The following is a 25,460-nucleotide window of genomic DNA, read 5'->3' on the forward strand; positions in this document are numbered from 1 at the left end:
AGGCTTTACCAGGTAGTGGGGTATGTCTGTGAAGGTGTTTCAGAAGAGACTGGCATTTGAATTGGTGAACTGAGGAAGGAAGATCTGCGCTCACTATGGATGGATACCATTTAGTCAACTGAGGACCAGGATAGAACAAAAAGGCAGAGGAAAGGCCAATTTGCTCACTTTCTCTTCTAGAGCCAGGACAGCCTTTTTCTTCTGTCTGTGGACATCAGATCTTCAGGTCTTTGACCTCTGGGACTTGCCCCAACAGTCCACTGGGTTCCCAGGCTTTCAGCTTTGAACCGAGAGTTACACCATGGGTTTCCCTGGTTCTAAGGCCTGTGGACTTGGACTGAGACATGCTATGGGCCTTCCTGGGTCTCCAGCTTGCAGACAGCCTATCATGGACTTGACCACCTCCATAATCACATAAGCCAATTCCCCTAATAAATCCTCTCTCATCTATCTATCTATCTATCTATCTATCTACAGGGGTAATTCAGAGATATTGGTGGTTCAGTTCCAGGCTACTGCAATAAAACAAGTATCATCATAAAACAAGCCACACGATTTTTTTGGTTTGTCAGTGCATATAAAAGTTATGTTTACACTATACTGTAGTCTATTAATTGTGCAATGGCATTATGTCTAAAAAATAATTTACAGACCTTTTAAATTAAAATGAAAAAAAATTAACAATACTTTATTGCTAAAAAATGCTAATGATCATCTGAGGCTTCAGCAAGTTGTAATCTTCTTGCTGGTAGAGAGGGTCTTGCCTCGCTGTTGATGGCTGCAGACTAATCAGAGACGGTTGCTAAAAGTTGAGGTAGCTGTGGCAATTTCTTAAAATAAGACAAAAGTTTGCTGCATTGATGGATTCTCCCATTCACGAAATATTTTTCTGTAGCATGTGATGCAGTTTGATAGCATTTTACCCACAGTAGAACTTCTTTCAAAATTGAAGTCAATCCTCGCAAACCCCACCACTGCTTTACTACTAAGTTTATGGAATTTCTACATCATTTGTTGGCATTTTAACAATGTTCACAGCATCTTCACCAGAAGTAGATTTCATCTCAAGAAACCACTCTCTTTGCTCATCCATAATAAGCAAGTCCTCATCCATTCAAGTTTAAGTTTTATCATGAGATTGCAGCAATTCAGTCACATCTTCAGGCTCCACTTCTAGTTCTCTTTCTATTTCCACCACATCTCAGTTGACACTTTCTCCACTGAAGTCTTGAACCCCTCAAAGTCATCCAGGTGTATTAGAATCAACTTCTTCCAAACTGCTGTTCATGTTGGTATTTGGACCTCCTCCCATGAATCATGAATGTTCTTAATGGTATCTAGAATGGTGAATCCTTTCCAGAAGGTTTTCAATTTACTTTTCCAGATCTGTCAGAATAACCACTATCTAGAGCAGCTATAGCCTTACAAAATTTATTTCTTAAATAAGACTTGAAAGGCTAAATTGCTCCTTGATCCATGGGCTACAGAATGGATGCTGTGTTTGCAGGGATGAAAATAATATTAATCTTATCGTACATTTCCGTCAGAGCTGTTGGATGACCAGGTATATTGTCAATGAGCAGTAATATAGATAGATAGATAGATAGATAGATAGATAGATAGATAGATAGATAGATATAGATATAGGTAGATACAGATATAGATAGATATAGATATAGATAGATATAGATATAGATAGATATAGATATAGATAGATAGATATAGATATATCTATATATATACTTTTTTTTTTTTGAGATGGAGTCTCACTCTGTCCCCCCAGGCTGGAGTGCAGTGGCACAATTTCGACTCACTACAAGCTCCACCTCCTGGGTTCACACCATTCTCCTGCCTCAGCCTCCTGAGTAGCTGGGACTACAGGCACCCACCACCACACCTGGCTAATTTTTTGTATTTTCAATAGAGAGAGGGTTTCACCGTGTTAGCCAGGATGGTCTCGATCTCCTGACCTTGTGATCCGCCCACCTAAGCCTCCCAAAGTGCTGGGATTACAGGTGTGAACCACTGTGCCCGGCCAATGAGCAGTAATATTTTGAAAGGAATTTTTTTCTGAGAAGTAGGTCTCAATGGTCAGGTTCAAATATCAAGTAAACCATGCTGTAAACAGATACGTTGTATCCAGGCTTTGTTGTTCCACTTACAGAGCATAAGCAGATCATATTTAGCATAATTCTTAAGGGGCCTAGGATTATCAAAGTGGTAAACAAGCATTGGTTTCACCTTAAAGTTATCAGCCATATTAGCCACTAACAAGAGAGTCAGCTTGTGCTTCGAAGCTTTGAAACCAGGCATTGACTTCTCCTATCTAGCTATGAAAGTCCTAGATGGCATATCCTTATAATAGAAGCCTGTTTTGTCTACATTGAAAATCTATTGTTCAGTGTAGCCACCTTCAACAATTATCTTAGCTAGATCTTCCGGATAACCTGCTGCAGCATCTCCATCACCACTTGCTGCTTCACCTCTTTTATGTTATGAAGATGGCTTTTTCCCTTAAGCTTCATGAATCAACCTCTGCCAGCTTCAACCTTTTCTTCTGCAGCTTCCTCACCTCTCTCAGGCTTCACAGAATTGAAGACAGTTAAGGCCTTGTTTTGGATTAGGCTTTGGCTTAAGGAAGTGTTGTGGCTGGTTTGGTCTTCCATTCAGACCAATAAAACTTTCTCCATAGCAGCAATAAGGCTGTTTGTCTTTCTTATCATTCATGTAATTCACTGCAGTAGCACTTTTAATTTCCTTCAAGAATTTTTTCTTTTCATTCACAACTTGGCTAACTGTTTGGCACAAATGGCCTCGCTTTAAGCCAATCTCTTGGCCTATCTCAGCTTTCCACATGCCTTCCTCACTAAGCGTAATCGTTTTTAGCTTTTGATTTAAAGTGGGAGATGTGCGACTTTTCCTTTCATTTGAACACTGAGAGGCCATTGTAGGGTTATTAGCTGATCTAATTTCAATACCACTGTGTCTCCAGAAATAGGGAGGCCTGAGGAGAGAGAGGTGAAGGGACAGCTGGTTAGTGGAGCAGCCAGAAAACACAACGATTATAGTTTAAGTTCGTTTATAGATCACAGATCACTATAACAGATATGATAGTAATAAAAACATCTGAAATATTGTGAGAATTACCAAAATGTGATGAAAAGACATAAAGTGAGCATATGCTGTTTGAAAAATGGTGCCAATAGACTTGTTCAACACAGGGGTACCACAAACCTTCAATTTGTGAAAAAAAAAAAAAACAATATCTGCAAAGGACAATAAAAGAAAGTATCCTTATAATAGATATATAAACATGAATATCCTATTGGGTCCATTTCTCTGAAGAACCCTAATTCAATGATTTTTACATTTCCTTATGGAAAAAATATGTCAACACTTGCATACTTCAATTAAAACGCTTAAATGTACGAACCCAGGACATTAAGAAAGTAAACACAGAAGCCTGACTCTGGAGAGAGGAATAACATTGGAAGCTACAGATACATGGAATGTTTTGCACTTATCCCATTTGTATTTTTTTTTCTGAAACTTGCTCATTGTAAAATGAAAGATGGGAAAAGGACAGTGGGAAATGTTACAGTGGAGCTTACGGCGGAAAGCAGTGTGTCTTTGGGCTTTTAGTTACCCACTTCTGCTTCATTAATACAAATATGATACGTCCTCTTGCCATCACAGAGCAGTGCTCTGATCTTTTCACATTTCCACAGGACCATTTTGCATATTTCTCATTTGAAAAATAAATTAGAGCAACTATGCTAACCGAATGAGAACTAAAAGATCAATTCCAATAAAAAGGCATTCATATCAGCACAGTAATAGAAATGCTTTTAAATGCATTAGGAAGCTGGTGATCTTCTAACCTGTATTGTCTTTGTAACCTAATCTTACTCAGCATTCTACATTTAAATGGAATTTTTAAATAGAAATCAGAAATTTAAACCATTTCTACCATCTTGCACCTGCTCCTGTGATTAAATTCTTAATTCATTCGAGGAAGCATATTAAATTATATTACCAATGCTACTTCACTTGTGTACATGGAAAATCAATGAAGCAGCCATTTTTAAGTTTCGGCTCTGCTGCTTTCAGGTGCTCTGTTTTCTTTGGGTGGGTCTCTTACTTCCCACACTCCCTTTCAGTTTTCACTTATTTGAAATTTCATCAAGCTCCTAGTTAGTGTATTTTAACTGGCACATCCTTAGCTGAGTCCTAAGGTTCAAACGATCCTTTATATGCAAAAATGTAACCAAATTTCAATGAAAGTGCATATTGTCCAAATATATTTTCCAAACAGGCTCCAACACATTGTACAACGTTTCTCTGCTGATATTACCTTTAAATTAGACATTGTACTTGTTTTCTAGGGCTACAGTAACAAATTGCCCTACACAAGGTGGCTAAAAATAATACAGAACAACAATGATTTTTTTTCTCACACAGTTCTGGAGGCCAGAAGTCTAAAATCAAGTGTTTTGGGGGTTGATTCTTTCTGGAGGCTCTGAGGGAGAACCTGTTCAATGCCCTTTTTTCAGAGGACTTATAAAAGCACAATTTAATTATATAAGATGTAAAATGTGGTAAAAGATGTTTTAATAAAATATTTGCAACACATATAAGAATTGATAGCTCTAATGTACAAAGATTGCCTACAAATTGATTAGAAAAAGACATTTTAAAAAGGGGGAAAGAAAATGACAATTCATCAAAGAGGAAATACAAATGGGCATATTGTATGAAAACACAAGCAACCTTACTTTTAACTGTTGTCAGGGAAATGTAATATGAAAATGATGAGATATAATTATGTAACACATTAGATTGGCAACATATAAAAGAGACTGATACTTTCCAGTGCTTGTAAGGGTGTAGGGGAATCGACTTTTATATGCAAGCCAAGCAGAAATGTAAGTTGCTAAAACATTTTTGGAACATTATCTGAAAAAAATCTTTTTTTTTTTCAAATTTCTGGGTTTTTATTAGAGTATTTTTAAAATGTGTACCAACTTATGGGGTACATGAGAAAATGTGTAATGTGCATATATTGTGCATTGATCAAGTCAGAGTATTCAGGGTGCTCATAATCAGAGTACAATACATTTTTAGTTGAAAACAGTTATCCTATTCTGTTATCTAATACTTCATTTATTCCTTTTAACTTACTATATGCTTGTGCCCTTGAACCCACTTCTCTTCCTCCCACCTCCTGCCTGCTTATCCTTCCAGGTCTCCCTTACTTATTTTTCGACTCTCAACCTCCATGTGTTCTAATTCTTTATCTCCCGCATACGAGTGAGAATATGCAACATTTGTCTTTTTGTGCCAGGCTTATTTCACTCAAGGTAATGACTTCCAGTTCCATCCATGTTGCTGCAAATGACATGATTTCATTATTTTTTGGGGCTGAGTAGTATTCCAGGATACCACATTTTCCTTATCCATTCATCCATTGATGGACACTTAGGTTGAGTCCATATCTTAGCTACTGTAAATAGTGCTGCGGTAAACATATGAGTGCAGATATTCCTTTGTATATTGATTTATTTTCCTTTGGGTAGATACCCAGTAGTGAAATGCTGAATCAAATGGTAATTCTATGTTTAGTTTTTTGAGGAATCTCCATGTTGTTTTCCATGGTGGTTCTACTAGTTTACATTCACACCAGCAGTATAAGAGTTCCTTTTTCTCTGCATCCTCGCCAACATCTGTTATTTTTGTCTTTTTGATAACAGCCATTCTGACTGGGGTAAGATGATATCTCATTGTGGTTTTGATTTACACTTCTCTGATTAGTGATGTTGAGCATTTTTTCATATACTGTTCACCATTTATATGTCTTCTTCTGAGAAATGACTATTCATGACATTTGCTCACCTTTTAACGGGATTATTTGGGGTTTTTTTCCCTTTGAGTTCCTTGTATATTCTGGATATCAATCCAATGTATGATGAATACTTTGAAAATGTTTTCACCCATTCAACAGATTGTCTCTTCATTCTGCTGATTACTTATTTTGCTGTGCAGAAGCTTTTTAGTTTAGTGAAGTCCAATATGTCTAATTTTGTTTTTGTTGCTTTTGCTTTTAAGATCTTAGTCATACATTATTTGCCTAGACTACTATCCAGGAGACTTTCCCCTAGGTTGTTGTCTAGCATTTTTATAGTTCCAGGCCTTACATTTAAGTCTTTAATCCATTTGGAGTTTATTTTTGTATGTGGTGAGAGGTAGGGGTCCAGTTTCATTCTTCTGCAGGTGGCTATCCAATTTTCTCAGCACAATTTATTGAAGAGGGTGTCCTTTCCCCAATGTAAGTTCTTGTCAGCTTTGTCAAAGATCAGTTGGCTGTATTCATATGGCTTTATTGTTTGGTTCTCTATTTTGTTCTATTGGTCTGAGTATCTACTTTTATATTGATACCATGCTGCTTTGGTTATTAGAGCCTTGCTATATATTTTGAAGTCAGGTAATATGATGCCTCCAGCTTTATTCCTTTTGCTTGGGATTGCTTTGGTACTTGGGCTCTTTTTCAGTTCCATATGAATTTTAGGATTTTATTTTTCTAATGCTGTGAAGAATGGTGTTGATGTTTTCACAGGGATTATATTGAATCTGTAGATTGTTTTGGAAAGCATGATCATTTTAATAACATTTTTTCTTCTGATCTATGAGCATAGGATGTTTTTCCACTTGTTTTGTCATCTTCAATTTATTTCCATTCTTTTGCAGCTTTCTTTGTAGAAATATTTCACCTCTTTGGTTAAATTTATTCCTACATATTTTTTAGGTGTTTTAAATGGGATTGCCTTCTTGAATTTGTTGCAGCTTTTTTGCTCCCACAGATCAGTGAGTGGGAGGGAGTGGCACCCAGGGGCTTTTTCTCTCCCATTGTTAGGCAAGTGGGAGGGAGGGTTACAGTTCTTTTACTCCCACCACCCACAGCTCGGCAAGCAGGAGTGTTACAGATCTTTTGCCCCTGCAGTTCAGCGAGTTCTGGGTTCTTGTCCCATGACCAGGAGGAATAAGGTGCAGGGACACTGGAGAGTGAGTAAGGCAGAGTCGAATTTTATTGAGTGACAGAAAAAAAGCTCTCAGCTGTGAGAGGGGACCCAAAAGTGGGTAGCCATCTGTGAGGCTGAATCCAGGGTTTTTATGGGCTTAAATGGGGGAATGCTTGCTGATTGGTCCATGGCGGTCTTGGAAAAAACATCATTTGATTGGTTAAAGGGCATTATTCAGAAGGAACCAATCAAGAGACAGTCCCTGTATGCCTACAAATTTGTCTATCTTTTGTTGCTATCAATTTCTTTCTCAGTTAGATTGTTATTGGTGTGTATGAAATACATTACTAATTTTTGCACATTGATTTTGTAACCTGTAACTTTACTGAACTGATTATCAAATCTAAGAGTTTTTTGGTGACGTCTAGGTTTTTCTAGATATACGATCATATCATCAGCAGGCAAGGCTAATTTCAATTCCTCTTTTCTTTGTTTTTTTTTTTTTTTTTTTTTTTTTTTTGAGATGGAGTCTCGCTCTATCACCCAGGCTGGAGTGCAGTGGCGCGATCTCGGCTCACTGCAAGCTCCGCCTCCCAGATTCACGCCATTCTCCTGCCTCAGCCTCCCGAGTAGCTGGGACTACAGGCACCTGCCACTGCACCCGGCTAATTTTTTGTATTTTTAGTAGAGACAGGGTTTCACCGTGTTAGCCAGGAAGGTCTCCATCTCCTGACCTCATGATCCGCCCGCCTTGGCCTCCTAAAGTGCTAGGATTACAAGTGTGAGCTACCGCGCCCGGCCTAATTCCTCTTTTCTAAATGGATGTCTTTTATTTCTTTTTCTTCCCTCATTTCTCTGGTTAAGACTTCCAGAAGTGTGACTTGCCAGAAGTGAGACTGTCATCAGTAACTTCTTCCTCTAGCAACTCCCAGCACCTTCACTTGGCCTTTTCCTCTAATCTAATCCAGGCAGTTTTCTTCCAAACAGACTCAGTCCATCTATTATTTTTTTCTGTTGTCAATTCCTTAAAGTGAGGGAGCAGGAACTAAGCCAACGTACTTGGGTTAAAATCTTAGCTCTGCCACTTACCAGCTGTGTGACCTTGAGAAAGATACTCAACCTCTCTGTTCATCGGTTTTCCATCCATAATTTTAGGATGATAGGGTTACAAGGATTTAAGAAATTAATACAGGTAAAGTGCTTTGGACAGCATCTGGCACATAAGTAGGCATTCATGAACGTTAGCTGCTATTCTTATTCTCTTGTAAAGTCAAAGAACTACAATCTCTTTAAATAAACAAACTAGTCCTAATTATTGTTATTTTAAAGTCACTTTATTACCAACTTTGAAGTCCAAACAAGTTTAATAAAAATTAACATAAGGATTGACATGACCCTTTTGGGGAAAAAAATCAACAAAATGTTTTTATAGAATTTAAAAACTGCCTACAATATTAACTGACTACTAACAATAAAATCATAAGTCCCCCAACTGACTGAATGGATTCCCTCCGGACCAAAGGTACTCCAGAGAAACCTTAAAACCTGAATTCCCAGCCATAACAGGATAGAAGGTCAGATATGCCTCATTATATCCCTCCCTTTAGCAGTGTAGGCACAACACCTGACCATCATTAATGTTAAAATAGAAATCATAAGACTGATGGAAAAGATTCTTTTTGGCAATAAGACACCAAATTATATACAGGATCTAAGGCCATGCCAGTTAAGAGTGAAGTCATGCAACCCTACACATAAAGAATAAACTATGCTTTAATGGCCACTAGGTTTTTCTTTTTTCCTAGTAGCTAAATAAGCATTGGCCTCAAGATGAGGAATATTAAGACAATTGCAGCTCATCCATTGCCGAAGTTTGACTAACTGACCCCCACCCTGTTCCATGAGCCATGACTACATCTTTGATCAGACAAGAGACTGATTTCAGTAACTTTCTCCTGATAAGAGACTACCAACCATGAACTGGTTCTGGGCAGTTTACAGAGGCCACACACGCTGAGTGTCTTTGTGTCCCTGCTTCACCTTTTTATGTATACAGTCTAACTGTAATAAATTTAAATGTTAAGTCTCCACCCCAAAGTGAACATAAGACATATGTAACCTACAGGTTTGTTTAGTACACATGCATTAGGACCCCCGTCATGAATACTTATAGCTCCTCCTGTAACCTGTTGAATATGTACACTTAGCCAACTGTTTCCTGTCTCCTCCTTTCCTCCTTGGAAGTGCCTGCTATGTCTCTGCTGGAGGCTGTGCTGTGTAAGGATAGCCACCCTGCAAGTTGCAACCTTTTATAAAAAACAAAGCTCTTCTTTTCTAAATTTATAAGTTGTGTGATTTTTTCAGTTGACATAGCAAAGCCAATGTCAAATGCCTTGTGTTGTAGCTTAAGAACTACAAAGTGAACCAACAATTTAAACTTCCACTTGTTGAGGCGCAAAAAAAGAGGAAATTTAGAAAATGGAAAATTTGTTTTCTTATTAAAGTATTATACATCTGGTTATTAAATAATGCTGTTGATCTTTCTATTGTGTTTTTCATATCTGAAAATCAAAGTAAGGAGCATTCTATCAATGTCATAAAAGGTAGAAATAAATAAGAATATCAATTAGTTGACAGTACTCTTCATCAAAAATAGTCCATATTTTTGTGAAAATCAAGGACTTTGAATGAAAGATGCAGTAAGATTCTTCTATTCTGAAGAAATTCCACTAAATAGAAAATTGAAAAGAAGGAGGAAGGGAGAGAAGGAAGCAAGGGAAGGAGAGAAGGAAGGAAGGGAAGAAAGGAGTGAGGAAGGCAATCGACTGACCATGCAGAGTTGTTGCCAAGGAATCGTCTATCACCAAGTCATATCACTTTGCTTCATGAATATTATGAATATTCCTGAATCCCTCCTCTTCTTTCTATACCCACTGCTGTTGTTCTGGATCTCAGTGTTGCACCTCTCTCTCTCTTTCTCTCTCACTCTCCTTTCTTACTGCAACAACTTTCAGAGAAATCTTCTAAAATATTAAACTATTGGTCTCACTTCTCTATTTAAAGCACCCCACTGACTCACCCCTGCTTGTTAAACAGTGTGGCTCACAAGACTTATTTCAGGAACAAAGAAACATTGGATTTAATCTGCTCTATAGACCAAATGGACCTAACAGATATTTATGGAACATTTCATCTAATGGCTGCAGAATACACATTCTTCTCCTCAGAACATGGATCATTCTCAAGGATAGACCATATTTTAGGTCAGAAAATATGTCTTTAACATTCAAAAAAATTGAAATAAAATGAAGCATCTTCTCTGACCACAAATGGAATTAGAAACAAGAGGGATCTTGGAAACTATATAAATACATGGGAATTAAACAATATGCTTCTGAATGACCAGTGGATCAATAAGAAATTAAAAAGGAAATTGAAATTTTTCTTGAAACAAATGATAATGGAAACACAACACATCAAAACCTATGCGATACAGCAAAAGCAGTATTAAAAGGGAAGCTTATAAGTGCTTACATCAAAAAGAAGAAAAATTTCAAATAAACAGCCTAATGATGAATCTTAAAGAACTAGAAAAACAAGAGCAAACCAAAACCAAAATTAGTAGAAGAAAATAAATAATAAAGAGCAAAGCAGAAATAAACAAAATTGAAATGAAGAAAACAACGTAAGAGATCAATGAAACAAAAAGTTGGCTTTTTGAAAAGATAAATAAAATTGACAAATCTTTACCCAGACTGAGGAAAAAAAAAAAGAGAAAAAGAAGACATTAAAACTGACACTGCAGGCCAGACATGGTGGCTCACGACTGTAATTCCAGCACTTTGGGAGGTCAAGACGGGTGGATCACGAGGTCAGGAATCCGAGACCAGCCTGACCAACATGGTGAAACCCCGTCTCTACTAAAAAAATACAAAAATTAGCCAGGCATGGTGGTGCGTGCCTGTAATCCCAGATACTCAGGAGGCTGAGGCAGGAAAATTGCTTGAACCTGGGAGATGGAAGTTGCAGTGAGCCGAGATTGCGCCACTGCACTCTAGCCTGGGCGACAGGGCAAGACTCTGTCTCAAAAAAAAAAACACACGCAGAAATTCAAATGATCATTAGTGGCTATTATGAGCAATTACATGCCAATAAATTGGAACATCTAGAAGAAATTGATAAATTCATAGACACATACAACCCACCAAGATTGAACATGAAGAAATCCAAAACCTGAACAGACCAGTAACAAGTAACGAGATCGAAGTTGTAATAAAAAGTCTTCCAGTAAAGAAAAGCCCAGGACCCAATAGCTTCACTACTGAATTCTACCAAACATTTAAAGAAGAGCTAATACCAATACTCCTCAAAGTATTGTGACAAATAGAGAAAAAAACATTTTCAAACTCATTCTGTGAGGCCAGTATTACCCTAATACCAAAACCAAAGACACATCAAAAGAAGAAAACTTCAGGCCAATATCCCTGATGAATATTGATGCAAAAATCCTCAACAAAATATTAGCAAACTGAATTCAACAATGCATTAAAAAAATCACTCATCATGACCAAATGGGATTTATGGGATGGAAGAATGGTTCAACACATGCAAATCAATCAATGTGATATATCATATCAACAGAATGAAGGATAAAAACCAAAACCATACAATCATTTCAATTGATGCTGAAAAAGCATTTGATAAAATTCAACATCTCTTCGTGATAAACAAACTGAGCATAGAAGGAACATACCTCAACATAATAAAAGTCATATATGACAGACCCACACTAGTATCATACTCAATGGGGAAAAACTGAAAGCCTTTCCTCTAAGATCTGGAATAAGGATGCCCACTGTCACCACTGTTATTCATTATAGTACTGGAAGTCCTAACTAGAGTAACCAGACAAGAGAAAGTTATAAAAGCCATCAAAATAGGAAAGGAAGAAGTCAAATTACCCTTGTTTGCAGATGACGTGATCTTATATTTGGAAAACCTAAAGAATTAGAACTGATAAACAAATTTTAGTAAAGTTGCAGGATACAAAATCAACATACAAAAATTGGTAGCATTCTACATGCCAACAGTGAACAAACTGCAAAAGAAATTTAAAAAGTAGTCCCATTTACAATAGCCAGAAATAAAATCAAGTACCTAGAAATTAAGAATCGAAAAATCTCTATAATGTAAACTATAAAACACTGATGCAAGAAATTGAAGAGAACACAAAAAATAGTAAAACACTCCATGTTCCTGGATTGGAAGAATCGATATTGTTAAAATGTCCATACTACCGAAAGCAATCTACAGGCCCAATGCAATCACTATCAAAATACCAGTGACATTCATTACACAAATAGAAAAAAAATCCTAAAATGTATATGAAATCACAAACGACCCAGAATAGCCAAAGCTATTCTAAGCAAAAAGAACAAAAGTAAAGGAATCACATGACCTTACTTCAAATTATTCTACAGAGCTACAGTAAGCAAAACAGGATGGTACTGGCATGGAAACAGATATATAGACCAATGGAAAGAATAGAGAACTCAGAAACAAATCCACACACCTAGAGTGAACTCATTTTTGGCAAAGGTGCCAAGAACATACACTGGGGAAAAGACGGTTTTTCAATAAATAGTGCTGGAAAACTGGATATCCATATGCAGAACAATGAAGCTAGACTCATCTTTTGCCATATATAAAAGTCAAGTCAAAATGGATTAAAGACTTAAATATAAGACCTCAAACTATGAAACTGCTACAAGAAAACATTGGGGAAACATTTCCAAGACATTGGTCTGGGCAAAGATTTATTAATACTCCACAAGCACAGACGACCAAAGCAAAAATGGACAAATGGGATCATATCAAGTTAAAAAGCTTCTGCATAGCAAAGGAAAAAATCAACAAAGTGAAGAGACAACTCACAGAATGGGAGAAAACATCTGCAAGATACTCATCTCACAAGGGATTAATAATGACCAGAATATATAAGGAGCTCAAACAACTCTCTAGGAAAACGTTTAGTTACCTGATTTAAAAATGGACAAAATATTTGAATAAATATTTCTCAGTGGCAAACAGGCATATGAAAAGGTGCTTAACATCACTGATCATCAGAGAAATGCAAATCAAAACTACAATGAGATATCATCTCATCCAAGTTAAGATGGCTTTTATCCAAAAGGCAAGCAATAACAAGTGCTGGCAAGGATGTGGACAAAAGGGAACCCTTGTACACTGTTGGTGAGAATGTAAATTAACACAACCACTGTGGAGAACAGCTTGGAGGTTCTTCAAAAAACTAAAAATAGAGCTACCATACTTCCCAGCAATCCCACCGCTGGGCATGTACCCAGAAGAAAGAAAATCAATATATCAAAGAGATATCTGCACTCCTATGTTTGTTGCAGCACTGTTCACAATAGCCAAGATTTGGAAGCCACTCAAGTGTCCATAAATAGATGAGTGGATAAAGAAAAGTGATACTTATACAAACAAAATACTATTCAGCCATAAAAAAAATTCAGTCATTTGCAACAACATGGATGAAACTGGAGGTTATTATATTAAGTGAAATAAGCCAGGTACAGAAAGACAAACATCACATGTTCTCACTTATTTGTGGAACCTAAAAATCAAAACAATTGAACCCATGGAGAGAGAGAGTAGAAAGATGGTTACCAGAGGCTGGGAAGGGTAGTGGAGGGGTTGAGAGGATGGTTAATGTGTACAAAAACATAGTTAGAAGGAAAGAATATGGCCTAGTATTTGATAGCACAACAGAGTGACTGTAGTCATTAATAATTTAATTATACATTTAAAAATAGCTAAACATATAATTGGATTGTTTGTAACGCAAAGGATAAATGCTTGAGGGGATGGATACCCCATCTTCCATGATGTTATTTTATGAATTGCATGCCCTTATCAAAACATCTCATGTATTCCATAAATATATGCCCATACTTTGTAAACACAAAAATTAAAAATAAAAAATTAATTTTCAAAAAGGAGACTTTTTTAGGGCCTCTTTACTTCCAGACTTAGCTTTCTATGATCCAGCCACTCTTCATTTATTGTAATCCCTCAGAAGCCTCATGCTCTTTTTTCCCTGGGGCTTCTGGTTAAGACATTCTGCTCTAGATACCTCTTCCCTTCTAGAAGCTAACTTTTATCTCTTCTTAAAGTCTCAGCTTAGCTGACGCTGACTCCCAGAAGCCTTTCCTGTTCTCCACATCTTGGATAAGCATCCACTTCTCTGCTCCCTTGGCACCCTTATCACCATTGTTGCAAGCCATTTTGTCATTGCCCATATTTCCTGCCCTCAAGTACATCCTTGAAGGCAGGATCTCTGACTGTCCTCAGCATCTGGCACAGCACCTGGGACATAGCAGGCCCTTCATATATACTGAATGACCACATCAATTATTTCAGATCACAGAAAAGCTTGAAAATTAATTTGTCCAGAACCATCTCATTTCTGGAATTTTCCTTTATTAATGATTCTGCTATGGTTTGCACAGTCCTTCACCTTTTCCTTCCTTGCGTGCCCCTTGAGCTCCATTGTTCTCATTGTTGACTAGGACAAACGTAATCATTTTCTCAATCAAGCGCAATATTACTGTCCACCAAAATTGAGTAACTAAGGAACTTTGCAAGTCTCCTTGCATACCCCTAGGGTTGGAATGTGTTTTTTTTCCATCATGGTACCCCTGGGAACTCTGCGTACCAAGGAGGAAACCATGACTTTGTAGCTGGGAGAAGAGTGAGAGAGTCTTTCACACTAACCAATTCCACGGGTTCCCACATTGAAGGAAACAAGAATGGTGGAAAAGAATAAAGGGAAAGAAAACAGAATAGAGGGCACCAGATATTATGTCTCATGTTTTATAGAGGAGGTTGTTGTTATGAGCTATTCTCATTATGAAAACCACCAAATCTTTTCTTTCTCTGGCTCTTTATTGTGCATTCGGAGATCCCTTAGGCTATTTCATCAAGTATCCATGAATAAAAAGCCCCCACAAGACAGACACAAAAGGAAAGAAGGGCTGGCTTAATGCTGCAATTCTCCCTAGAAGGAAGAGGGTTTGTAACCAGCCTTGGCAGGGCCTAACTGTGCAGTAGCCCCAGTGTGGGTGCATCTGCCCCCGCATCATAAATTAGGAAAGCCACATTGGCCTGATAACTGTGAGGTTATGTACAGCTCTTGTTGTATGATATGCTCTCAGGTCTACCGTTAGGCCTTGCTGTGCTCCCAGAAGATGCCTCAGGTGAGGTGACAGAGACTTACTAAGGCTCCTGCTATGTCTTAGGCACAAGCAAAGGCCGTATGTTTACCTGCTGAGGGCATTTTGTTCATACACAGTACATTTGTTCGGATGCACATCTGTCTTTTTCATATTCCATATATGCATGTTTACTGTCTCATATAATTCACAAACTTAAAGATGTCCTAACTTAGAGAAAACAGACTATTTCAAATACAGGTCCATACAACTGTAAGTAAAATGTGAAGTAAACTGACAACATTCCTAATTAGAATTCATTACTGCTTTTTAAAAAAATGCATTAATTTTAGGTCTGGAGTTCAAAATCTGCCTCACAATGCCAAGGTTTACTACAACTATGCCAATTTCCTGAAGACCCAGGTCAGAACAAGGAAGGAACCTACCGCTATAGAACGGCCCTCACATAAACCATACAGGAAGGGTACTGGCCACTGTACTTTGAAGATACTTATTTCACTCATCCCATCCCAATATATGGGGAGTTTGTTTGTTTCTCTTGACAGTGAACTGATCCTTGGAGGTGGTGTAGCTCTTGGACTGTGAGTCTTTTAGCTCAATATTCAAGTCTGGTATTAATTCAATAACTCTACTTTGCATCTAACTCTTGGTGTTTCCTGGAAAATTTTCCAGTGCTACACATTATGCAGTGAAGTGACACTCAGTTGAGTATATATATGCAGGAAGACAGAAATTGGTTGCTAAAAATATAGTGGTAAGTTCTCAGGGCATGTATTCCAGTGAATTATTAATAGAGTGTATGGGAAAATCTTGGCTTGCCACTGCATGAGGAAGATTTCTATGGAAACATTTAAAGCAATGAAGATGCCTTTACATGTGTGTTAAATTAGGAGTAAAATGAGAAGGCACTTCATGGCCAGGTTTTGACTTTAAGGCTTTTGAAAACATGTATGTAATTATACTTTTCCAAGGTAAAAAGCTCTGATGTACTCCTCATAGCCATCATGGGATGCAGCATATCAAACATGCTTATAGTTGTGGCTGTATTTCATTCTTAAGAAAAGCCCATAGCTGTGGTACTCTCAGAGACTCTTTTCATATCTCCATGCAGAGTTTTCATGGTGGCTATCTCTCAAGATTCCAGATAAGAAATATATTTGACCTTTAACACATGGAGACTTGATGAATAAAATACATGAGAGTACAATAAAGCGAGGTGAGTTCTCTCCTCTATTGAATACACTAAGAGAAGTCCTTTTGACAGGATTCTGTACCCCACCAATGGGCCCATATTTAGTTGACTTCTCTAATACAATTCCACTTTTGTAAATGCTTAAAACATATTGACATGGTTTGTCTCTGTGTCCCCACCCAAATCTCATCTTGATTGTAATCCCCTAATCATCACGTGTTGAGGGAGGTACCAGGTGGGAAGTACTAGATCATGGGGGTAGTTTCTCCCATGCTGTTTTCGTGATAGTGAGTGAGTTCTCACAAAATCTGGCAGTTTACCCTGCTCTTGCTCACTCTTGCCTGCCACCATTTAAGACATGCCTCTTCCCCTTCCACCATGATTGTAAGTTTCCTGAGGCCTCCTTAGCCATGCGGGACTGTGAGTCAATTAAACCTTTTTTCTTTATAAATTACCCAGTCTTGGGTAGTATCTTTAGAGCAGTGTGAGAATGAACTAATACACACATATACACATATACCAGTAGGTATGGGTAACTGAATAATATATTTCACTTAGGATATTGAGAGTCTGTTTTCTAAAATTCCTACCAAGATGTTCTTAAAGCTTTGTTTTAAAAATCATCATTCACCAGAATGCTTTTTGGGTTTTGCTTCTATACTATCTTTTGGAATAGTATTCTGTGCCAGCATATTATTCATGAATTACTTAACATACACCAGGGCCCAAACTTAAAACAGTACCCAAAAAGTTAGCCACCAGAAACATTCTCCAGATCACAAGAAATGGAAGTTCCCCATGGAAAGTAAGAATAAACCTTCATGTTTTAATTGAGGAGTGGGAAATATACTTAAAGCATTAAGTATATTTAGAAAGAACAATCATGTTCTTTCTCTGGGAAAGTATATTCTTCCTCTGGGAAAGTATATTAAGAAAGAACAGTCATATTCTTTCTCTGGGAAGCAGTTTACCAAAAGATTACAACTCTATTTTAAATTGATGAGATGCTGTTGAATTTTACATTTTTAAATGCTATACTTTAGCAATAAGAAAATATCATTTTAAACTTTAAGGGCACAGATCAGGTATATTTTTACTTTAACAATGAAGTAACATTTAACACTGCATTATTGTGTGGAGAAAATGAATACTAAGTTTACCTGAAAAAATTGGATGAAAAGAAATGTTTTAGTATTTTATTTTTCATTCTTAAAGTGTACTTGCTGTCATCTTTAAATGGGTAAAGTGAGGCAGGCTTTAAGACACTTGGAATAGTGGGTATGATTCACTGGTAGCTGTTTTAAAAGAATCATTGTAGGCCAGGCATGATGACTTACACCTGTAATCCCAGCACTTTGGGAGGCTGAGGTGGGCAGATCACCTGAGGTCAGGAGTTCAAGACCAGTCTTACCAACATGGTGAAACCCCATCTCTACTAAAAATGCAAAAATTAGCTGGGCATGGTGGCACACACCTGTAGTCCCAGCTACTCAGGAAGATAAGGCAGGAGAATCGCTTGAACCCAGTAGGGGGAGGTTGCAGTAAGTAGAGATCACGTCACTGCACCCCAGCCTGGGTGGCAAAGCGAGATTCCATCTCAAAAAAATAAAAAAATAATTATTGCAGTTAGATAATTTGAGGTATCACCAGTGAAAGCATAAAAATATATGTTGCTGCATTAATTCTGCTTTTGTAAAATGTATGTCTCTTGAGAAATGAAAAACAAAAAAAATAAAGCTACAAATATATCATACAGTGATTGGTGAAATATTCTGTGCTCTCAGTCCAGACTCAAAACTCTGTCTGGTTTGAGAGCATCCTCCTTATAGTGTGCAGTCCCCTGCTATGACTGTTCAATGGATGTTGGTGTCTTTTAAAATAAATTTTCACTTTTTATCATCATTAGAGAGAAAGGAAAAGATACTGTGACTGTTCATCATTTTGGTGATTGTTAATCTAGATGACCAGAAGATTGCTCATTTTATTTTGATATTGCTAATTTCCTATGAAATTGGCTGACAGAGGAAGTCTTTCCCCTTCTAAGTGTCTCCCTTCCCATTTCAGTGAATCTAATTTTCTCCATATTTGCAGACAGCAAGAAGGAGAATAATGGGGAAATACAAAGTTAAAGGATCTAAAAATCAGTTCCAACAATCATCTACTACAGCTATCAGTGATTGTACAGATTCCCAAAGCAGTAGTGAAGTTAATCATTCAAATTGTATTTATTGCCAGCCAATCATTTTTTTTTTTTGGCTGGCTTATATTTCTCAAACTAGCTCATAGTAAACTGGTAATTATATACAACATGACTCTATTGTTTCTTTTACATTTTTATTTTATTTTTACAATCTTGCAGAATTGCCTCTGCACCTTCCCTTTAGCCATAGCCAATTTAAGTATTTTTGTATAGTGTGAGAAACCTCCCCTGGAAAAGTGCTGCATTATTAAGTTACAGATTCAGTTAAAACCCTAAATCATTTAAAAAAAAGAAAGAAAAGAAAAAGAAAGAAACAAACAAACAAACAAAGAAAGAAAGAATGCTTAACTTAAATTTTCAACAAATATGAATGTTAGCTTTGCTTTGCTTTGCTTTGCTGTGAGAGCAGCTTTCATGCTTATACCTATTCTGGGTCCTATAAAGCTTGGGATCATATATGATGGAAAATCAGAAAACCACTGGTAGATCTGCGATATGCTTCCAAAGCTTTCTGACCATTGAGTTATTTCAGGAAAGGTTTCTGCCATTCAACTCCACTTAATGGGAGTAGAGAGTTCAAAGACCACCCAATATCTCAGTTCTTCCAACACAGAACTCTTACAAAAGACCTTTGCTAATATATTAACCCACAGTGACCCTGCCTGTGGGTCAGAAGATGCCCCTTGGAGAACTTCTGATTGGCCAATAGTTTGGTTAATTAATTTTAAAAGTTAAGGTGGATAAAGCAGACAATATATAACTCTGAACACTGTTTTAGCCTAAAACATACAAATGTACTTCCATTCAACCACATTTTAAAGTTGAGCAAAGGCTTTTCAATAAGAACCCATCAGTTAAAAAACCAAATCACCATTTTCACATAAACTATATCCAAAATGCATCATCTACGACTACTATCAGTTTGGACAACTTCAAAGTAGAACAAAAATTTAAAGATTCTTGCAAAGTAAGTTGAGTAGAAAATCTATGAATTTCATGATTTTTTTCCTCCAGTCTTTTACATCATCTCCACACCTAATTGAACAGCAGTTTTCTATTTCTTGGCAACTTCACTTTTTTAGCTTTTGTAAAATATTTCCTTGGTTTTCACCGAAATGACAACTCTTGTCACACTCAGATTGTATCTGTTTAGAGGATATTTTACTGAATTATACGATTATGATTTTTAAAATACAACTGAAATAAACAGGAATAAATACAACTGACTACTGGCAATCAAACAACTCAATCAGTGGAAACAGGTACACAGGCTTACAAAAGAGCAGTGCACTCCTGAAGTGTGGATGCGGGCATAACTCAGTAAATTTCACAGAAGGATTGGAGACTCTCTAGTAATCTGGTGACTTTTTAATAGGACGTTATTTAAAAGAGAAAATATATCAACTCTAGGTAAATTAGTAAAAACTATGGTTTCTACTATTGTTCAGACTCATTAGATGACAATTTTTGGTTATTTTCTGCTGGGCATCAAGAATCCTGCATCTGGGAATACAGAATAAGGCTGCCCAATGTGTCAGGCTGGTCTCTCCAGTATCACCAGAATATGACCCCATGTTCCACTGAACATTTGTTCACCTAGATGTCCTTCCTACCACTTCATCTCATAACGCCCTGCTGCACCCAGTACTGCAAGATTCGCTGATGTGCCTCAGGTGTTTGGATATCAGCCACACGGCAGGATTTAATCCTGATAAAAGGGCTGAGATCCTCAGTCACCCAGACAGTTATTTTCCTCTTCACACACACCGTTTCAGCATGAAATATACAGTAAATCAACTAAAGTTGATTTTCTCCCCCCGTATTGCAATCAAATGGAAGATGTATTACACTGCTCCTTGGAAGACTCAAGTGCGCCTAAGCATTCGTGAGACCTTTAGAATGGCCTTATATGTTCCTAATATGTCTGTTACTGATGTCTTAAACAGAAAATATGAAGGAAAAGAAAACTGCTGAAACAGGATTGAAGTTCCTGATCGTGTTGTTTTCTGTTGGTGTATCTAAAATGTAAGGAGCATACATTTCATGATTCTGTATAAATGAAACCCTATCCCACTCTTTAATTTGCTAAAACATGGTAAAGTAAGGGGCTGACAATGTTTTGTTGAAAGTTATTTAATTCATAAAGTAGACATTTCTTATAATAATGCTTGTTGGTACAGTACTTAATCATCCTGCTTGTGTGGACAACCAGAATTTATCAAGAAAATTCTATAAGACTTGGATATATATTTTTTCAATAAGAAAAAAATATTTATTTTAGAAAGAAATAAATGTGTGAACATTAATGAAATATCATATATTAGAGCTATAACGGTATATGACAAAAGCTCACTGCAGCTGCCAATTAACCTACCTTTTAATGATATCCTAAGTTCCTTCAGTACAATTATTGTATCAAATTTCCTATGAATGCTCAACAAAACGTGCAGTTTGAACATTGTAAAAACTAGAAACCGTTGAATCAGGAAAAAACACCACTTATTTATGTAGCTTATTTTGGACAAACTTTTAAAATAACTTTCATAACTACAGATGGCCTTAGATGCCAGCTGCCATGTGCTTCTGGAAGGAATTAAAATTCCAACACCACTTGTTGCCCGGGTGTGACACATGGTGACGGCGCCTCAGCTGGAGTGGTGTTATCACTGTATTGGTCCTCACATTTAGAGCTCTGGACATCCTTTATGATATCTCATGTGAAATTCTGGCATTATTTTTGTGTCTTCTGTTGATGAAATTACATTCTCACTATACATGTTGTGTTAAGTCTGGCAGTTTTGTTCACCAAATCCAAGAAGCAGTGTTTTACGTAAAATATAAACGAGAATCTTTTTAGTCTTATAGTGGTCACGTGTAGGTATACTTTAAAATCATAGCACTATAATTTTTATTCGAAGACTTTTTTCCTTCATACCATTCTTGCACACCAAAAACTAGCTTAACAGGCGATCTATTCTGAGTCAATGAGGCAATTTTGACAGGATGTTGTTTAGATTCTCCATTTAAATGGAATCGGTAGTGGCAGCTACCTCACAGAGTTCTTGTGAGAATTCCTGTGAAGTGCTTAGCAAGGTGCCCTGGCCGGCTGCTGAGCACTGCATCAGCAGTTACTGCACTCAGAGTCTGACCGCTGCCTTCACTGCTTCACTCCTCCTTCTCCCCAGGAGCCGCCATTTTCCCAGCCCTGCCACAGCCACAACTTCCGCTCCTCCTCCTGCCTCCACCACCAAGGCACCCTGGGGGATTCATGGATCCCTGGTTCAAATTACTCTTCCATTAATAGAGTCCTGCACCGGCCCTACCTCATCCGGAGTGGAAGCCCTGACTGTCTGCCTTGCCATGGCCATTCCCTCTCTGTCCCCATTTCCTGCTGCTCCCTCTGTGGTTCCTCAGCTCCAGCCACAGTGGGCGATTTGAGGCCCCTGGGACGCACACCACAGGCACGGCCCTGCGTCTGGGCTTCTACACTCGCTGTTCCCACTGCCCAGAGTGCTTCTCCCCTAGTGTTTGCATGCCTTACCTCCACACTTCCTCCAAGACATCTGTCACCTTCTTCCTGAGGCCTTCTCTGACCACCCCACATGAAATCGCAACAGTCCTGCCGCCCCAGCACTTTCTGTCCCTTTGCACTGATCTATATTCTACACAACTCTCATCACCCTCTAATATACTTGGTGTTATGTAAACTGTGTGCCTCACTCTTCTAGAAGGTAGTCTCCACAAGAGCTTATATCTTTGTTTATATCCCCAGCACATAGGACAGTATGAAGCACATGGTAGGCCTACAATAAATATTTGTTGAATAACTTAAAACTGCATGTACATGCACACTACTGATGCTGCTTTTTAGCATGTGAACTGTGTGATTAACAAATTTCATTGTCAATCTTTTTGACTCAGGAACCCAAGAACACTTGTCATCCAGGAACACACATCGTGGAAGAAACAGATGAATGCAAGATGCCTTGAGTGTTCACTGTTAATTATGAAGAAGTACTAATAGATGATGTTTTGACTGGTGGGAGCAAGTTGAAGGCTGCTGACAGCAATGAAGAAAATTATTTTTTTGGAAGATGAGAAAGCCATGGGAGATGGGAAGAGCTGGATGTTTCAGCTTGACATGGGTTCATTAGGCCTGGGGTGACAACTGAGTCAACACTCAAGAGGTCCTACAGCTCCACAAGCTCCTCTTCATCTCTACAAGTAAGATCCAAGAATCCTAAAACACACTGGTTATTTGAAGGAATGGGCTCAGAGAAGAAATAACCATATTTGTTAGTCAGAATGTAGTGGGTGTGGCCATGGGTACTTGTACAAAAATCACCTCAGTGGTTCACTGGCAGCCTAGCAAGATGTGCTACTGGGTCCACTTTTACAGAGAAATAAACTTGGGCACAGACATAAATCCAAGCCACGTAGCTGGAAAGTGCCATAGTCATAATGGAGCCCAGGGCTGCAATCCCATTCTGTTTCCACTTCACCAAAGCAGCTTTCCATCCATCCTACCCTCAAAACAAGAATAGCATAAGTTACATTCACAATATTCCATTTACAAGGCAGAGAAGTATGAGACTGTCTTTTAAAAAGAATTTCATTTGATAAATGTCCTACCTTCTGGTACTTACAGGGTTGATTCTCAACTCTCAGAAGAGTCAACTATTTAGAGGATTCATTTCCTGCCTCTTCAGCTTTGGTTTTATTTTAAATCTTGTTGGCAAATTAATAGAAGGGAGGTTTTCGGGATCCCCTGTGTGATCCAGAGCTGAACAGGAGGGGAGTTCAGCTTAGGTTGATTGATCATTACTTCCTGGGGATAAGGGAGGAGCAGGGGAAAGGCTAACATGGTGAAAATACGGTACTGCATCCTGAAATTGAGTTTACCTGGGCTATATTTTAGTCACGAAAAATTGAGGTTTTCTGAATGATTTTTTTAAACAGTCATGTTTTTCTCTTTGATTTTTTTCTCAACAAAAAATAGAAAATAAATATCTGACCTTAAGTATAGATAACCTCCAACAAATAAAAATTGAGAATGAAAATCAGACAAGCAAATCAGGGTGGGCACACTCAAAGGAAATTGCAAACTAGAGTACATGATGCAATTTTACCTAAACACTGAAATTTCTTACAAATCACTTTGAACAATGACAAACTGATGGCATCCATGACTTTTGAACAGATTGTGCAAACTCTGAAGGAAATGCTTGAAATAAAAAATAAATCTAAATTTTAGTTGCATAACTTCTATCAGTTGCTATTCTCTTTATGGTCTTCTATATGATACTTTTTTTGAGATTCAAGCCTATAGTTCTTTGGTCAAAGATAGAGCTTAAAAATAGTAGAGCCAAAAGCACTACTACTACATAATTTTTATATTAACACCTGGTAAGCCAAGTTTATTTACTGAGTGTTATTGATTCTAAAGAGGTTTTCTATTATGTAATAGTTTTCACAGACGTAATTTTCACTTTTTGTGATAGGCAGCACATTTTTCCAGTTAAATAAGAAATCTAATTAGTTGAGTTTGTTTGTTTGTTCGTTTGAGACAGAGTCTTGCTCTGCTGCCCAGGCTGGAGTGCAGTGGCACGATCTCGACTCACTGCAACTTCCACCTCCCGGGTTCAAGCGATTCTCCTGCCTCAGCCTCCTGAGTAGCTGAGATCACAGGCACATGCCACCACACCCGGCTAATTTCTGTATTTTTAGTAGAGACAGGGTTTTGCCATGTTGGCCAGGCTGGTTTTGAACTCCTGACCTCAAGTGATCTGCCTAGTTCGGCCTCCCAAAGTGCTGGGGTTATAGGCGTGAGCCACTGCGCCCGGCCTAGTTCAGTTTCTTTAGAAATGTTTTACTTCTCTTGGAGTACTATTTGCCAAGATATTATAGTTGAATGGACTGTCCACGGAAAAAAAAAAACAATTATTCCACAGTTGGTAGCAGCATATTTAGACATAGCATATGCTGCATATGCTATGTGGCTACTGAGCTATATGATTATAGCTCAAAGGACTGTAGTCACTTATGTTGACGGCTAGGCCGTTGCTCATATTTTTGGGGAAAATAAATAGATTTACCAAAATCCTCTGCCTCTTAACACTATAGAAACACCAGTGATTCTGAGATAATATTTTGTTTGTTATAATTCATAATTTATTTAGTTTCTCCTAGACTTTGTTTACTAAACTATAAAGTAAGTAAAATAATCATTTTAACTTAAAAAATAGAAAATTAAATGATATAATATCTGGGAAAGTATTCTACAAGCTGCAAAGTGCAAGACAAATGTATGATATCATTACCACTATTTTAGATCATCTGGATTTATTTTATTCCTGCATTTTATTTTTCTCTTAAGCAAATGCAATGGCTTGGAGGAAAGGAAATAATTTTCTTGCCTACCTACTTTACTTTTGCTTAATGAAATGTTGTTAGATGCAAATTAAGAGCCTCTTAAATGCTTAAATACATGTTATGTTTATCAAACATTTAAGCTTTCCAATATTAGATTAACATTATCAATAGATTACAGATTTTTTCTGTGACAGCTGTCTCTTATTTATGCAGAATTATTTTTCTCTGTACTTATATTTGTCTTTTAAAGTGAAAAAATTTTTTTGCTTGAGTATGCTATACGTGCTCTTACAATAAAAGTTTTTAATTCATCTGATGAGCAAAAATGATTTTTTTAAATGCTGAGAGCAACCAAATGGTATTCACACTGGGTCTTCAAAAGTGGGCTAGAACTCACCAGTCTTTTCCAGTTCAGTGAAGTATTT

General features: G+C 37.5%; 1 pseudogene, besides 1 other annotated feature; it reads left to right on the top strand.

The window, feature by feature from the left end:
- The window catches only part of LOC100422352 (transmembrane O-mannosyltransferase targeting cadherins 1 pseudogene), a 65,535-nt pseudogene that overhangs the window by 8,654 nt on the left and 31,421 nt on the right, over window positions 1-25,460 (top strand).
- Window positions 21,481-22,015: an enhancer, noted in NCBI's record as "H3K27ac-H3K4me1 hESC enhancer chr12:30637986-30638520 (GRCh37/hg19 assembly coordinates)". NCBI's record gives its function as "activates a minimal SCP1, AML or CMV promoter by ChIP-STARR-seq in naive H9 embryonic stem cells {active_cell/tissue: H9 hESC(naive)}" and the evidence as "EXISTENCE:reporter gene assay evidence [ECO:0000049][PMID:30033119]".

The sequence above is a fragment of the Homo sapiens genome, chromosome 12, assembly GCF_000001405.40.
Source record: "Homo sapiens chromosome 12, GRCh38.p14 Primary Assembly".
Lineage (NCBI taxonomy): Eukaryota > Metazoa > Chordata > Mammalia > Primates > Hominidae > Homo > Homo sapiens.